We start from the raw sequence: 18,439 nt of genomic DNA on the forward strand, positions 1-18,439 counted from the left end.
ATAAAAACCACAATGAGATATCACCTTAGTCCTGCAAGAATTGCCATTATTCAAAAGTTAAAAAACAATAGATGTTGGCATGGATACAGGGAGAAGGGAACACCTATACTATACACTGCTGTTAGGAATGTAAACTAGTACAACCTCTATGGAAAACAGTATGGGGATTCTTTAAAGAGCTAAAAGTAGTTCTGCCATTCGATACAGCAATTTCACTACTGGGTATCTACCCAAAGAAAAAGAAGTCATTATATGAAAAGGACATTGCACATTTATGTTTGTAGCAGCACAATTCGCAATTGCAAAGATATGGAACCAACCTAAGTGTCCATCAAATAATGAGTAAAGAAAATGTGATATATATATATATATATATATATATATATATATATATATATATCAATTTTACATATATCAATTACATGTATCAATTATATAATTTTGTTATATATATATATATAATGGAATACTACTCAGCCACATAAAAGGAATAAAATAATGTCTTTTGTAGCAACTTGGATAAAGCCGGAGGCCATTATTCTAAGTAAAGTAACGTAGGAGTGGAAAATCAAAAACTGCATATTTGCACTTATAAGTGAGAACTAAGCTATGAATATGCAAAGGGATTCAGGGTGGTATAATAAACTTTAAAGACTCAGAAGTGGGAGGGTAGGAGGAGGGCTAGGGATAAAAAAAAACCTACCAATTGAGCACAATGTACATTACTTGGGTGATGAGTGCACCAAAATCTCAGACTTCACCACCATGTAATTCATCCATGTAACAAAAAACCACTTGTACCCCAAAAGCTATTGAAATAAAAATGTTTAAAAAACATTATGGAGTTCCTTTAGATATGTAAATAACATCTTTTTTAATGTTGTGCTTTTGAGTTAATTCATTGATAATGCGTGATGTTAATTTTAATTTTCTCATTTAACAGAGCAATGTTTTAATTTTTTTAAGTTTGTTAACTTTTTGCTAGTAATTTCCTGTTTTATTACAGTGTGATCAGCACAGAAACAGTACAAGGGACCTGAGGAGATATGGGGGGAGCACCAGCAGTGTCTGCTGTAAGGAAAACTGTTTTGATTTTATCTTCTTAAATCCTTGCTTCACTGGGTGTCATTTGTTCTTTCAATGTGTCCAATTGACAACTTTGAGGCATTATTTTCCTTTTCTTTTTTTTTGATACGAAGTCTTGCACTGTCACCCAGGCTGGAGTGCAACGGCTTGATCTCGGCTCACTGCAACCTCCGCCTCCCGGGTTCACGCGATTCTGCTGCCTCAGCCTCCCGAATAGCTGGGATTACAGGCGCACACCACCACACCCGGCTAATTTTTTTGTATTTTTAGAGATGGGGTTTCACTATGTTGGTCAGACTGGTCTGGAACTCCTGACCTCGTGATCCGCCCGCCTTGCCCTCCCAAAGTGCTGGGATTACAGGCGTGAGCCACCGCCCCCAGCCTCCCTTTTCTATAAACAGAGACAAAAGCGTTCATTTCAGCAACTACCCACATTTCTGTTACTGGTGGATGCTGGGTCAAGTACAGCAAAGGCTCACATGTGAGTTTTTTCTTCTGGAAAATCTCCTGGAATCTCCTGATGGCCACCTGCCATCGTCAGTAAATCATGGAGATTTCTATACTAGCTGGTAATCAGACTCGTGTACAGAGTAGTCCCAGGCCTGGAACTTTATTTCATCAGCATCTTCCTGTCTCTTCTCTTCTGGGGCCTTTGGATATTCTTGCCTGAATTAGGACATGGAATTGGAAATTGGGTGATTTAATCTGTTAAAATAAACAAAAGCAAAGTGTGTGGTCTTTAAAATATATCATGTAATGTAATTAAGAAAATAGCTAATAATTTTTATTCATTTTTACTCAATTCCACCGATTGTAATAGAATCTCTATTATATGTCAGGCACAGTGTTAGGCAAAGGGAGTAAAATAGTTGAAAAGGTCCATCCATTTCACTTGTGAGAGAGAATTTGGTGGGGCAGGGCTGGGAAAGGTTTGTGTAGAAGCGGGTGGAAACTGAATGCTCTGTGGATGGCGGTGCTTTCCCATCCTGGCACAACTGATGATCTGGGGTGATTAATGGGGAGAGGAGACAGGGAGATGTAAGAACAAATCATGGAAGTCTTTATGAGCCATGATTAGAAAATTGAATTTAAAGCGTTACAAAGTCATTAACATTTTAAATGAGGAAGTATCATGACCAATGTGTATTAATGTGCTTGGGCTGCCACAACTAAATACTACAGATTGGGTGACTTAACAGCAGAAATGTATTTTCTCATCCTTCCGAAAGGAGGAAGTCCAATATCAGAGTGCCACCACTGTCGGTTCCTGGTGAAGACTCTCTTCCTGGCTTGCAGATGGCGAAGTTTTCTCTGCACCCTCACACGGTGGAGAGAAAGCGAGCTCTCTGGTGTCTGTTACGAGGACACCGATCCTATCAGATCAGGGACCCACTCTTCTGACCTCATGTAACCTAATTACATCCAAAAAGCCTTGTTCCAATATAGAGTCATATTGGTGGTTAGGGTTTCAACATACGAATTTTAAGGGGACAAAATTCAGTGGACAGCAAACTGTGGACTTAGTTGTAAATTGTTAACGGCATTGTGGACAATAAATATTTAAAAAGCAGCAGTTGACAGGAAGATTAATGATTATTGCAGCAATCTGGGTGGAAATGACAGATAACTTTACAATAGTGGCAGCAGGAATGGAAACAGAAAAAGGACAGAACTAATAGAATTTTGAAAAATAGACTAAAAAATTCAAGGCCAATGTGGGCTGGTGTAAAACGGGGGAAAGCTGGAGAGGTGGAAGATTGATTATTCCCAAGTTTCTGATTTGATTGATTCAATGTATGAATTTTTAAAGCAAGATTTCCCATACATTTTAATTATGGAAAGTCATTATTTTATGACAAGCACAATTCAAAATAACCTTTCCCAAAATATAATGATACAAATTTATAAAAGTAGCTATTAAAAGAAAATTAAATAAAATAAGAATTCAAATAAAGATATTAGAAAAAGAAGAGGACAGATTTACATAAAGAAAATAAAATAGTAAACACAAAACAGGATACTGAGAATTGAAGAACAAAACCAAGAAGATTTGATGAATAAAACCAAGAGATAATTTTTAAAAATCAGTAAAATAGATAAATAGATGATGATCCAATTAAAGAGAGAACACAAGCAAAAATACAACTATAAATGAGGGTGCAATAATAGATATAGATGAGATTAAAAATTATAATAAAATAATTTTTTACTTTCTTATGATATATCAATGTTATTTTTCTTAAAAATATAAATATACAAAATTGAATCAAGAAACAGAAAATCTATATAGAACAATAAACATGATAGATATTAAAGATTTATTACATATATCTTTAATAAAAGCTCTAGGACAAATTGGTTTTACAAGTGATTTATTTCAAACTTTAAAAACACTCAATTGATAAACTGCTCTGAAGCATAGATGAATATGGAAAGTCTCTAAATTAATTTATAAAACTATTATAATCCTGATTTTAAGGAAAAGAAAATTGTTAGAGATAATACCCAAACAATAAATCATAGATGTCTCTCACTTTTAAGTTACAGATATAAAATTCTCAGATATAATACCAGCAAACCAAAATTAATAGTGCATTTAAAAATGCACAATGGCCTTGACCGTATTCTTAGTGAGTTTGTTTTTATCACATATGTTTCTAAAAGGTTTTCTATTTTATTTAAGTTCAAACTTACTGGTACATAGTTATTCCTATTCTCTTACAGTATCTACAGCACATTCTAGTTTTTGGTAATATGTTCAGCATTTAATTTTTTATTCCTGGTGAGTTTTTTTATATTTTATTAGGCTTTGGAAAGAATAACTGTTACTAATACTTGGGTTCTTGCTTTATATTACTGTTTTGTTTGTTTATTGAAAATTATTGTTTACTTTGACTTTCCTGAGTTGTTATTTCACTTTTCTTCATTAGTAGCTCATTTGTTGTCAGTTTTTTAAAATTTTTTACCTTATGCATTTGGCCTTGTATTTTAAAATACTATTTTAATTACATCTCACAATTTTAAGCTGTAGTGATATATTCTGTTCATTTAAAAATATTCTTTCCATTTTTATTTTCTCTTTAACATATGAGTTATTAAAATGAGTTAATATCAAATCTCATATACTTTTAACATTTATGTTTTAATATTTATACTCAATAAAATTTAGTCTTTATGAAAATATTTTATCTTCTTAACTCACTGTTGCTTTTATTCTGACAGTCATTTAGCTGAATAACATCCTTTAGTATATGTATTATTGAATGTATGTTATCATTTAGGAACTGTGTTGTTTTAACTTTCAAGTTGAGTTAAGCAATTTAACTGAAATTAATGTTTGTACGTGATGTACATAATGTGAAGTAGGTGTCAATATTCACATTTTCTAACATAAAATTCCATTTGACCTAGAACCATTTATTGAAAAGGCTGCCTTTTCCCTATGGCTATGCAGAGCCACTTTATTATAAATAAATTCTCATATATATGAGAGTCTATTTCTGAATCTCAATTGGCTCCACTAGGTTCTTTGTCTATCCTAAAGCCAGTGCTGCAGCACTGTAGCTACATACTGTAGCTTTCTAATAATTCTTTCTGTCTGGTTATACCATTTCTCCAATTTTGTTTATTCTTCAAAATTACCATAACTTTTTCTCTTTTGCAGTTCCATTTTAATGTTAATATTAGCTTGTCAATTTTCTCTGAAGAACAATACAAAATAAAGAATCAAAAATAATCTCTCCTATCATGATTTTGATTGCAATGAATCTTTCAATGGATATGGGGAGAATTGATATCTTTATAATGTTGGGCCTTCCAATCAATGATATGGTATATCCCCTTATTTATATATCTTCTTTTGTTTATCTCTATAATGTTTCACAGCTTTCTGTATATAATCCTTATATACCTCTTATATACTTATGTGTTTGATATTTTTCATGCTATTCTAATGGAATACATTTTTAAATTTCATTAACAAATTTTTATTGTTCATATATGAAAATACAGTTTTTGTATATTGATCTACTCAGAGACCTCACTAAAATCATTTACTACTTCTATAGCTTATTGGTAGAGCCTGAGTTTTTTCATCTACAAAAATCATGTAAATTGCAAATAATAAAAAATTTATTTTTATTAAAACTTTTATCAGTTATTTATTTATTTTTTTTGTCTAAATGTATTGCCTAGGACCTCCAATACAATATTAAATAAATAGTGACAGTAGGCATCTCGATCTCATTTTCACTCTCTTGGGAAATTGTTCTGTTTTTTACATTGAATGTGACACTTACTGACATATTTTAGTAGAATACCTTTAACAGGTTAAGGTTATCTATTTCAGATTCTAGATTACTAAGATTTTTTAAAAATATAAATGAGTATTTGATTTTATCAAATGTACATTCAAAAATGAGTTAGTCAGTTTAATGCCAATGACTGAACTGTATACATTTTAAAGCAAATTATAAACATGAAAATTGACTCAAGAAGAAATAAAAATCCTCAAATGTTACCATCGAATAACTTTATAGTTAAAATGTTCAGTCACCAACAACCCCACTCCACACATTCCCCAGGCCTATTTTACCTCCTACCAAGGAACAATAACTATTAAATAATAGAAAATATTACAGAGACTAGGAAAAGAGGGAAACTGACCGGCACTTTTGATAAGACTATTACAGTCTTGAAACCAAAGCTGGTCACAGCTCATTCAAGTTAGGAAACACAAGGCAAGTCCCTTTGAACACCTATCTGATTGTGTTGGAATTTATGTCTTAAGCCTCATATCTCTTGGATTCTATTTTCCATTTTGCACAGCTCTCCTGCATTCTGGATGGTTCTTTTGATTTTTGTATTGGTTAATCAATTGTTAAGCCAAGATGCTGAATTCCCTGCCCCTCAGTTTTAGCCCCTTTATTTTTATTTTTAGATTTGCCTATTATGTTTTTATTCTATTATATTCTTACATTGTACCTTTCCTTTCTTAATTTGCTTTTTGAAACACTTTAAATATTCCTAATTAAAGTATCTTCTTTGGGTACAAATTCCCATGTCTTTTGCCATTGCTGATGATACCACATGGCAGTTTTTTTCTGTGGTTTCTAATATCCAGTGGAGTTCGTTTTTGTGGGAATCCTGAGTGTAGAATGATTTGTAGAAGCAGTCATCTGGAGATCCATGAGATTAATCAGGACCAGGTCCTTTCTGACAATAGTTTCCCAATCAGGAATTTTTACATCTTCTGAAAAGTATTCATAAGAGCTACATGGTAGTGTTCTTTACAGTTTTAGAGGTTTAATCTCTGCCTCTGTCTCCTCCTTGGTTAAGCCATCCTGCTCCTTGTCCAACAGGTGGAACATTTCTAGCCTCAGTACACAGGTAGCGTAGCTTCTGTTATGCTGGGCTTTGTGCAGTGAGGCCACTTCAGACTGCCTCGGAATACGTGGCCATATTTTTTTCATTTCTCCCACAGATATTTAAACCTCAGCTCCTGAACCATGTATTCGATATAAGTACTCACAGGAATTTTTCTTGGCTTAAACTTTCACTCACAGCTGTAAAAATTTGAGTTCACTTGTCTTTTTTTTCTCTTATTGGGAGAAGTGTGGAAGCGAGATGGAGCTAATTCTCAGCCTATCATCTTGCCTGATGTCTGGAGTATGAATTAATAAATACAATTTAAAAACAATATGCTTCTCTCATTTGTAAAACGTCCTTTGTTTATTTTGCAAATAGGTGAATTAACTAATGGATATCTGTGTCCCTGAACAAGATAATGAAATTGTTCACGATTCAGTTTACAGTTTATTAGGTACTTAGTGCATTTAGCACGTCAGATGCACCACATTAAAAGAAATAACAGCAAATTCACAACCACAAATGCCTTCCTAATCCACTTGTCCCACTAGAGCTCATAGAAAAGGCCTTTGAAGTAAAAATTAATGGTGACTTTGTTTAGTTGTGGATGTCTAAAATCAATGCCCCAAGAAAAGTTTCCTAAGTTGAAGGAATGAAAGGAGCTTTTCTTCACTTAGCTTCTCCTTCTGAAATGCATTTTGCACCTGCTCTGGTTAGAATATCCTGGGCCCCAAATCTTTGTTCTCTATGGAATACTCACATGCTTCCTCCATTATTTAGGGGTGGGGGCCTGTCTTCCTGATAATTGGTGGGTCTGATCAGCATCTGGGGAGCTATCCAGACGGCCTACAACCCAGAAAGAGTTGTCTGGAGTATAAAGTATTGGCTTTTAATGTGGATAAACCAAAATCAATAAGTAAACCAGTCTTTTTTCTTTCTTGTGTGTGTATGTGTGTATGCATTCATGTACTCATGCACGGCAGTCCTGCAGTATTAAAGGAATTGGCATCTGTAATAAAGTTAGAGCTTTCCGATCTAACTGGGACTTCTGTCTCACTATACTCAAGGCTAAGCCTGTCTCTAAATGCTTCAGTTGGTCATCACGGGCTCTGCAAATTGGATAAGACCTTAGAGATCAACTCATTTATCAATCTCTCTGTATAGACGGAGAAACTGAGGACCAGTGAGGGGAAAGTTCTACAGGTCCCAGAGGATCAAAGTTTAAATGTGGTTGTTCTGAAAGGAAAGAAAGGAGCGTGCCTTCTTGAGCATTTAGATCACACATTGGATGCGTGACTAGGAAAACAGCTACTGGGAAGATGCTTTGTTGACTTCTTTCTTTGTGTGTCAGTCAGTTACCTCTTCTTTTCACCAGAGAAAGAAAAGCAAATCCTAATTATGACTCCTTTGCCTTGCAATGAGACCAGATTAATAATAACAGCCACCTTAGTGTATTGGTTTTTTCTCACACTGCTGCAAGAACTACCTGAGACTGCGTAATTTATGAAGAAAAGAGATTTAATTGACTCATATTTCTGCAAGTTGTACAGGAAGCATAGCTGGGAGGCCTCAGGAAACTTACAGTCATGGAGGGAAGGTGAAGGGGAAGAAAGTGCCACACACTTTTAAACCATCAGATCTTGTGAGAACTCTATTAGGAGATAGCACTAGGGAGATGGTTCTAAATCATTAGAAATCACTTCCATGATCCAATCACCTCCCATTAGGTCCCTCCCCCAACACTGGGGATTTCAATTCAACATGGGATTTGGGTGGGGACACAGAACCAAACCGTATCACTTGAGCTGGCATTGATTGTGCTCTAGGGATGTGGATTCAGGGTTTTCCAGGTCACCTGCAAATGCTACTTAAGGTCTCAATATTTTATTCCCATAGGACAAAATATTCCATATTCCTAGGAAAGTCCAGCAAGTTCAAAGAGTAAATGCTGACTTCTAGGTGACAGATGAGACAATTTTCAGAAAGCTGGTTTAGATCAAGGGCAAAGGGAGAGAGTCTTCGAGCTCTGAGTGCCAATCAGTGTGCTCCATGGCAGAGTGGATCAACATAGACTGACCCTCACACCTAGCTCTAATTGTCCGGTACCTGTTCCTTACACCAGCCAGTGTCTTAAACATCTTGATATTTATTTGTTTTCCTGACCAGCTATTGAAAACTATACTCTTGATTTGTTTTAATCAGATAACGATAAGGCATGTAGGCACATAAATGACTGTCATGAGGGGTTTTCTCACAATTCTCTAGAAACAGGAGGCCTGGGCCACATGGGGAAGAACCAGGGCGGGGGGCGGGAGTCTCAGGCAGAGAAAGTCAAGGAAAGCAGAGTTCAGAGCCTTTGTTGTGGTTTCTGTGGGAAAGGCAAGGCATGCAGATTTAGAATGGGCTAGTTTGAATAATTTCAGTGGGCTCTGGGGCATAGGAGCTGACCCTAATTGTCCAGTACCTGTTTCTGGGATAAGTAGGGCAGAAGAATACCACCTCCTGGAGTGTAAGAGCCAGATAGAGAAGGTGGTTGTGAGTACGGGCTCTGGATTGGTTGGTATACAGATGAAAGGTGCTCTCCTCAGCGAGTCTTCTGCTATCTCTAAGAATTAGCAAGCCCTGGGTGGGGCAGCCTCTTTCCAGTCAGTGAAACTCCAGATACCAGATTATCACTCATATAGAAAATAAAAAAATATAATTAATACCTCAACACTGCTACTTCTGACCTTGTTCAGCCATCACTCATCCCTTACTCCCCTGCTCTCCCAGCCCTCATACCTCGTTCTAGCTTCTTCCCATCTTGGTTTTAAGCAAACTGTTCTATTTCTGGCATTTGCTTCAGCTAACTTGTTTTCTGAGAGTGAGCACCCCTGGATCTCCCACTATGCATACCTCTTGGCCCTTCTCTCTCTGATAAAAGTGCCTAGAGAGTGGGGCCCCTGAGTATATTGAGAGGAAGGAAGGACTCAGGATTGCCTGGGGCCGCAAAGCCATGCCTCACTTCAACAGTTGCACATGGCAGAAAGAGGGTAGCATGATAAGAGACAAAAGGCATGAGGTAGAAGATATTAATTAGTATCAGGTAAGATGGTGGGGGGTGTAGTGTACATCTTACTTTTTCCCAAGAGAATAGCCTGCTTTGTTAAAAGATCTCAGAATTACTCCAATTAAGCCAACTTTCTTAGCCTTAGTTTCCCTTTTGTAAAATTAGGACAATAATATCAAATTTGCACAGTTTTATGAACATTCAATGGATGCAATGGACTGTTTATGTACATTTTGTAGCATACATCCTGGCTCATAGTTTGTAGTTGGTAATTTTTTTTCAAATTTAGAGAATTAAATTTTTAAGACAATCTGTCTCTATTCCTTGTCTTGGGAGGCATCCAAAATGGAAACAACTATTCTAGCCACTGCAGCAACCTTATACCCCATATTCCCAGGCAGAAGTATGGACGCTTCCAAACCTAACAATCTGGGCTCTGGTAATTCAGTCCACTAATGAAATTTCCATCAAATTCTGCTGTCCCAGCATTTTCATCCAAGCTGAGGCATTCAAGACCTAATCTGTGCTTCCCACAGAGCTGAAGGGTGTTAGAGGCTGCTGGATCAGAGAATCTTCTGCGGCAGTCTTGGTCTACAACAAGCTGGACCTGGAAAAACAGGAAATTGGTATTATAATGGGTTAATTAAGATATGATGAGTTAATTAAGGAATCAACTTTATTTTTGCATTACTAATACAGGAATGCATAGCCAGTGTAAAAATGTCAACAATTTAGAAGTATACAGAGTTCAAAGTAAAAGACCAACACACTCATAGCTGTATGGAACCCACTCTATTCCCCAGAGTAAACACAATGAAATATTTGGTGTTATACTTCTAGAACTACCACTGTGCATTTATATACAATACATACACAGATATAGATATGCTGATATTGAAAACATGTATATGTCATTATGCTATAAGTAATGTTTTGTAACCTTTTTTTTTTGTTTCTTATTTATTTATTTATTTTGAGATGGAGTCTTTCTCTCTCACCCAGGCTGGAGTGCAATGGCCCCATCTTGGCTCACTGCAAACTCCACTTCCCAGGTTCAAGTGATTCTCCTGCCTCAGCCTCCTGAGTAGCTGGGATTACAGGCACACACCACCGTGCCTGGCTAATTTTTGTATTTTTAGTAGAGACGGGGTTTCACTATGTTGGTCAGGCTGGCCTCGAACCCCTAACCACACTTAATCTACCTGCCTCCACCTCCCAAACTGCTGGGATTACAGGTGGGAGCCACTGTGCCCCGCCGTTCTTTAAAATTTAATAAGTTGCATTTTTTATATTAGTATAAACAGATACATGGTACCTAAATATTTTTAAATGTTAACCTTTTATTTTGTGATAGAGATGTATCATTCACAGTTTAATTCTCTTTTGAGGAAAAATTAGTTCTGCTTTCATATGTCTCCTATGCAAAACAAATGCTCCAAAGAACATATACATTTCTTTGGGCAATTGTGTTTTTTTATTTTTTATTTTTTTACCTAGGATACTGCTTGCACTATTTTCTAGGGCTGCCATGATAAAATACCACAGACTTGCTGGCTTAACCGAAAATTTATTTTCTCACAGTTCTGGAGCCAAGAAGTCCAAGATCAAGGTTACGGCAGGGTTGGTTTTTGATAAGGATTCTCTCCTTGGCTTGCAGACAACCACCTTCTAGTCATATATGTATCTTTATATGGGCTTTCCTTTATGTGTGTCTGTGTCCCAGTCTCCTCTTCTTATGAGGACGTAGTCATATTGGGTTATAACCTACCCTAAAGACCTCATTTTAACTTAATTACCTCTTTGAAGACCCTATCTCCAAATATAACACATTGTGAGGCACTGGGGATTAGGATTTCAATTTCAACATATGAAGATTTTGGAGGTGGGCACAATTCAGCCCATCACAATATTCTAGTTCCATTGTTGATTAATGAATTACCACAAAAATCAATAGCTTAAAACATTTATTTACTTCAGCTCACTGATTGCTGAGTGCATGTCCCTTTTCTATGAGGTCTGGGGCTGGAGGCTGAAATCAGTTGAAAACTCCGATTGTAGTCATTTCCCATGTGGTCTTCTAGAAGAAACACAACCTGTTTCATCACCTCACGAAGCTGGCCAGGATTTTGTGACTTCCTCTACAGAACAGAATATGGCCAAAGTGATATTGTGTAACTTTTGATGATAGCTCAGAAAAGGCAGTATGATGTCTCCCTTTCTCTCCCTTTCTTGTTCTCTCTCAGGACACTCATCCTTAGAACTCAGTTAATACTCACCTTGTAGTAACTGCACTAGGAAGTGCAAGGTAGCCCAAATTGAGGGGAACTGAGGCCCCCAACCAACAGCCAGTATCAGCCTCCAGACACTTGAGTGAACAAGCTTCAGATCACTCCAGTCCCAGGTCTGCTGGGCCATGTCTGCATTCATGACCCATAAAATCTATGATCATAGTAAATGGTTGTTTTATACCATTAATTTTTGGAGTACTTTGTTACAAATTGAGAGTATTTGGCTTGAGACCTGAAAGATAAAAAATAGTCATCCATGTGAAAATTAGGGTGAGGGGTCTTGCAAACAAAAGGCCCAGCAAGTAAAAATACCTTGGAGTGTTGCAGGAAGAGACAAAGGTGTGTGTGGCTGGAGACTGATGGGTGACATAGGAAGTGATATAGAATTAGACTAGAGGAAAACAAGGGAGAAATCCTGAGATAGAGGGAAGAGTTTGAATTTTATTCTAAATTCAGCTGGAAACCACTGGAGTTTTAAAAAGAATGAAATGACCTCGTTTGATTTACATTGTAGGAAAATCACTATGTTTGCTCTGAAGAGCAAGAGTAGAAAGAAGAATGATGGGTCTTTGAAGTTATTTGGGCAACTCATTGTCATGGCTTGGGCCCAGGTGGTAGTAGCATCAGTGGGGAAAAGTGGAGAGATTCAAGATGTGTTTCAGGGGATGAACCATAGGACTAGCTGAGAGACTGGATTTGGGGACTAAGAAGAAGAATGGAATCCAGGGTCATGTGTAGGTTTTGCCATTGAATGGATGCAGGATCCTGTTTGGGGAGGACTGTGATGGAATGACAGGGGGTTTTGAGGAAGATAAGAATCATAGGGCTCATTTATTTGTTACGTTTTAAACATTTATTAGAGATTTAAGTGAAGATGTTGAATAAATAGTTAGATAAGGGAGTCCTAGGGTCAGATTTAGCAATATAAATTTGTGAACCAACATTTAGATATTAAATACACAGAGCACTGAGACTAGAAGAGATTAACCAGGGAGAAAATGTGACTAGAGAAGGAAATATGCCCCATAGAGAGCACGGGGCACATTAATATTTGGAAAACAGAGAGAAGGTAGGAGACCAGGAAAATATATGCCAAGGTAGTAAGAGGAGGACTTTCCTGTGTGACAACACAGGGAGAAAATGTTTTCAGAAGGAAGTTAAATAACTGTAGAAATTCTTTCCCACAGCTAAACTTAAATCTCACTCCATATTACTTCTACATACTGGTATCAGGTCTTAATTCTAGAAAACATACAAAAAGAAATTTTATAAAAATGTTTCCTAGTACTAATGGAAAGATAATACATTTTGTAGGTGTTGTGCTCTTGATTTGAATCCTGGGGCTACCGCTTCTTATCTGTGTGACTTTGGACAAATGACTTGGCCTCTGTGAACTTCACTTTCTTCATTACTGGGACAAGATGGTGATAACTTGCTTTGCAGGGTTATTGAGAAGCTTAGTAAAAATACACGTTACACATCTGGCCAATAATATGTGCTCAATAAATTGAAATAATGATTAAGTTGATCTTCTATCCCCTACAATAGCCCTAGGAAGGGTTGACAATTACTGCCATATTTCTTTTTGAAATCAAGATTTTCTACATTACCATCTTTCTCCCATTCTCCTCTTTTCTTCTTCCTTTTGCTTCCTCTTCCTACACCTGGCCAATTTATTTCGATCTCAAAGAACTCTAAAGTAAACAAAGGATATTACCCATCTAGGTAATACCTTTCCATACTACAATGGCATAGGCTGTTTTGTGAAGTAGGGAGCTACTTTAAGAAAGTGGCATGCTGTGGTCAAGAGCTTAGGTTCTTGGGTAATACTATATGGGATTTAATTCCATTTCTACCACTTAGAAGCTATGTGGACTTGAACAATTTACTTAAACTTTCTATGTGTATTTTTCTTCATTTGTGAAATAGGGGTGATGGTACCTATGTCATTGGGTTATTACAAGGATCACACAAATTAAAATGGGTAAAGTGCTTAGATGGGTGCCTCGTACTCAATATTGAGTTAGCACTCAACAAATGTGAGCTACTGTTTACATACAGGCTTTCAAGCAGATGGCTGATGGCCTTCCTTCCAGGATGTGGTACCAGGGATTTTGTGTCTCCAGGAGGTGGGTGGGGTAATTTCTGAGGCCCCTTCTGACTCTGACATTTTAGGATTTTATAACTAGTGGGACTTAATGATTTTGGGGGTTGTTATCTCCAGAGGTGAAGGGGAAACAGAAGTACTTGTTCTTGATTCACAGGAAGCTGAGGCATGTTTAGGAAAATAAATAAAATTGGGTTAAAAAGTAAAAAACACTTCAATTTTGAATAATCTCTTTTTTTAAACACCAAAACTTCTGATTTTCTGGCTCAGGTTTCCTATTCAGATTTTAATTTTTTAGAGAATTCATCTTTGGTTATACAAGCAGCATGATATAGAAAAAAGAGCACGTTTTCAGAGTTAATTCTAAATTTAACCTTCTACCTTTCTATTACCACAGAGTGGCTGAATGTCTCTAAGCCTCAGTTTCCTCAATTTAAAGAGAGAAATAATAATTCTACCTTGCGGTGTTATGTGAGAATTAAGTAAAATAATCTACATAAAAGTCTCAGCCAGGTGAAAGGATGTTATCCTTCTGTACCTGTCCTGCTGAACTGCAATTGCTAGCTCTGCTTGCTCCCATTTCCTCCCAGATTCCAAAAATATCAATGCAGATGGCTCTTTTTGAACCTGGGGAAAGTATATTATATATTTGCAGTAGTAGGTCCTGCTATTAGATGATATTTATAACTCTGCTGAAACCAGACTTATTACTTGAATTAACAAAAAAAAGTACAGTAGTTTCTACAGGTTCTAAAAATATTACTCAGAAATAATGCTCTTTCCAGACCCCTAATGCTGAGTAAGGTAAACCTAACCTCTCAGTTTAATAGGCTGCTGATAATCCCTCTATGCCAATGGGAAAATTAGCTAGTGCCAGGGTATTTTTAACTGGTCTGAACAAACACATCTTCATTTGCATCTAGCAAGATGTAACCTTAGCAACAGTGTGTATTTTTGGACTGCTTTTCATTTAATGCAAATGAAGCACCACCGATACACCCGGAATCTGATGACAGAATTCAACGTGACCAATTCATGTGTCTGAGGGCTCCAAGTGCCTTGCCGGCCCCATCAAATTCTGATTTCCTGTCACCGGTATGAATCAGTATGGCCCAAACTAAAATTATTTTAGAGTATCGATTTTTCATGTTTACTTTCTTTCATGTTTTACTGTCACTCGTATTATAAATGACCTGGAGTGTGGGAGAAGCTGTTTATTGTGTAGTGGGCTTAAGTTTCACATTGTGACAGATTATTAAAAATGTGGTTATCTCCTTCTGAACTGTTACCTGAGGGCAGTTACCTGCCATGTCTGAACCACAATGCCTTCTCTTAATACAAAACAGAGGCGATCATTAATTTGACAGTTTTCCTCCCTTGTAACATTGCATTAAATACCATATTTGAAACTGATTTTTTGAGTTTATCATTATTACTTTTTAATTGTATGTATTATGTACTTATTGGAGATGATGTGATACTGTGATATATGTTTATATTATGAAATGATTACCTCAAGCTGATTAACAAAGCCATTATCTCACATACTCATTATTTTCTTTGAAAGTGAAAACATTTAAATTCTACTCTTTTAGTATTGCTAAAGAAGCAGGAGGGACATTAGTTTAAGGGCATGCTTCATCTTGCCTGCCATGATGACTGTTAGATAAAATCACTGGTACTTTGAACCGAACCAGTTTCTTTTGTAGGGCTGGAAATGGAGATGAAGAAAATTGGTCTTCCTGAAGACTGCTCTCTGCAGCCCTTTGTAGTTGACAGTTGGTTTGTACTCCTATGTTTGAGCAATTTAAAGATGGACATACAATAATTCTCATTTCCACCTAAAGGAGAGGAACAAAACAACCTGAGTAACAGAGGGCTTTGGCAGTCCTGTTGGAAAAATGGAAGCTTCCCTAGCACTGGTTTCTCAGTCTTTTGCCTACCACTGCCATAGCCAGCTCTTCTTCAATCTTGTTTAACTACTGTATGTTAGAATAAGTGAATACACGAATGTATGATAAGCAATTTGTCATCATGACTCCCTAGTCAAAGAATCACACTTGGTTATACTGTCCCACCAACCATGAATTGGAACAGAGGGCTCAGGAGTAAAAATTTGAGAATGTGTAAGTATCTGTGTGTGTGTATGCACGTGTGTGTGTGGCTCTTATGTATGTGCTTGTGTGTCTAGGTTCATGAGTCTGTGCATGTGACCCTGTGACCTAGGGCTGGTAGGCATGTATGGGACTCTGTGAGTTTATATCTGTATATGAGTGTGCCAATAAATTTAGGTATATGTAGCTTTTACTTGTTTGTTGTTATATAGGAGGAAGGGAGTAGCTGAGGATTGAGAAGTTCATTTATTCATTCACTCAGGAAATATTCACTTAGAGGATAAGAGGGTCAGACTGAGTGGGTGAGGTCATTGGTGCAGCCAATGGAGGAATCATGCCAAATAGTGATGGAGAAATGCTGGTCTCTCTTGTGTGCTTTGAATAGCACTTTGCAAACGCCTCTATAGAGGCTCAGGTGACAGCTGTGGGAATCAACGAAGCCCTTTAATGATCTTCAAGGCCATACATATTAAGCTGTAAAAAACAGAGAGCTCTGTCTTTTTCTTCCTGTCTTCTACTCTATTCCCCTTCCTTGCATACCCAAGCCCCTTCTGGTACATCCTACTTCACCCTAAGGAGACAGACACTAACCTGATGTACTCCTTCTAATGCAGCTCAAGAGGACAAGTTCCTGTCCAACTGGTGAAGTTTCTGTTGCTCACAGTGAAGGCCCTAGGACATCGTCAGGGGCTTAGGATGCAGTCTAACTCATTTCACATTGTGTTATTAAAGTCAGGAAAGTCAGTTAGGGAGATTGGTATTATCCCAATTGTCACCAGAGGAGCATTTTTGAGTGTTCTAGAGAGCAAAAAGAAAGTTCATCATTTTTACTTGCATCAGGAACGATGGCAGGAATTATGTGTCAGTTGTGTTTCTGGAAAGGAGAAATGAGGGCAGCACTTCCCAGAAAGAAGACATGCCCTGCTCAAGGCCTGGCCAGGGTGAGCTGTGATGGGAACCCGAAGCTCCCAGTTCAAGATCTTCTAAAACCCCTATTCCCGTGTGAATGCTGTCTAATTTCTCTTTTCCCAAAAGATTTCTAGCAGAATAAATGTCTCCGGACCTGCCTCTGTGTTTAACTATTGTGTGCCAGAATAAGTCCTCCTGGAGCATTTCAGGCTCTGCTCCACAGCACATCCTGCAGGCATTTACAGCCCATAGGCACTTGGACCAGTGTCTACTCTTTTATGTGATTTTCTCATGTCCCAGGTGAGGCAGGTGATTACAACTATTCTAAAGGTAGAGAAACTGAGGCTCTGAGGGGTAGATAGTAAGATGCAAAACCAGAACTGAAGGCTCAAACCCAGGTTTTTACTGACTGGAGCACAGTTATTTTTTTACACACCCGCCTCCCCCACACACTAGGGGTTCCTGAAGAGTAGAAGCTCCATCTTGCTCCTTGGTGCACCTTTGCCCTTGAGCTTGGGGCCTGGCTTGGTGTGTAGGGTTAATTTCCCCAAGAGCCAGACTCTGGAACTGGAAGAGGAAGCTCATTGGAGAATCTCCTTAGGATCAGTCAATGCCTGTGGAGGAAAGAAAGCAGCAGGACTGGGCAGAGGGAAAACGACAAGAAAGGTATCAGCCGATCCCACGGGCAGTGCTGGAGCTGGGATGGCCCTTCAGAGTTGTGTTCAATACAGGGGAGGGCTCTAGGCCTTTCTAGCCTGTTATTGACCAGTCACTGGATGCGAGCTGCCTCCAGGAAAGGGTGTGACATTGGGCGAGGTGATTCTCTTTAAGGAATTCAGGGACTCAGGGAGAGGAACTCAATTAAGTTCAGAGGAACTCAGAGTCGCCTGCTGCCAACACTCCCAGCAGCTGGGGAATGAGTGACTCAGCCCCATGGGGGTATCTGGGTGGTACACTACAGAACAAGTGGGAAAGGGCTGTGACATCACCTCTTCTCCACAACTTGCTTCCCCGTTCTCTTACCACCATGCAATCCTGGTGTATGGTTCGTTTTTCCTGCATGAGGCAACCCAGCTCTTTGGATATTGCTGTCTTCCATGCTCCACTTCTTACTGTGACTGTGTTCTGAACACTGCTTCTGCATGTGCACGTGTGTGTGTGTGCGTGTATGTGTTCATGAGTGTGGGGGCTGTGTGTGGAGGGGGTGTATGTGCGCATGTGTGTGTGCAGACATGGCTGTATGAACATGTGTTTGTTTCTCACCAGCATCAAGGCTCATTTTTATATGTCTTTCAGGCAGGGACCTCAGTTTTCCCAGCCACCCTGCCTTCCAGGTACAGCTCCGGGGGTGAGAAGAGCATCAGAGCCCTGACTCTGCTTTGCTTCTGTGCTCAGGGTATCTTTGGACCCCAAACTCATGACGCTGGGAACCTACCCAACACTTATGAGAACAAAGACTACACCCAGTGGGAGAATGACTCCAGGTTCAGCAGGGCTGAGGTCCCTGGCATCCATCTGG

This window comes from Homo sapiens, chromosome 2, assembly GCF_000001405.40.
Source record: "Homo sapiens chromosome 2, GRCh38.p14 Primary Assembly".
In the NCBI taxonomy this organism is placed as follows: domain Eukaryota; kingdom Metazoa; phylum Chordata; class Mammalia; order Primates; family Hominidae; genus Homo; species Homo sapiens.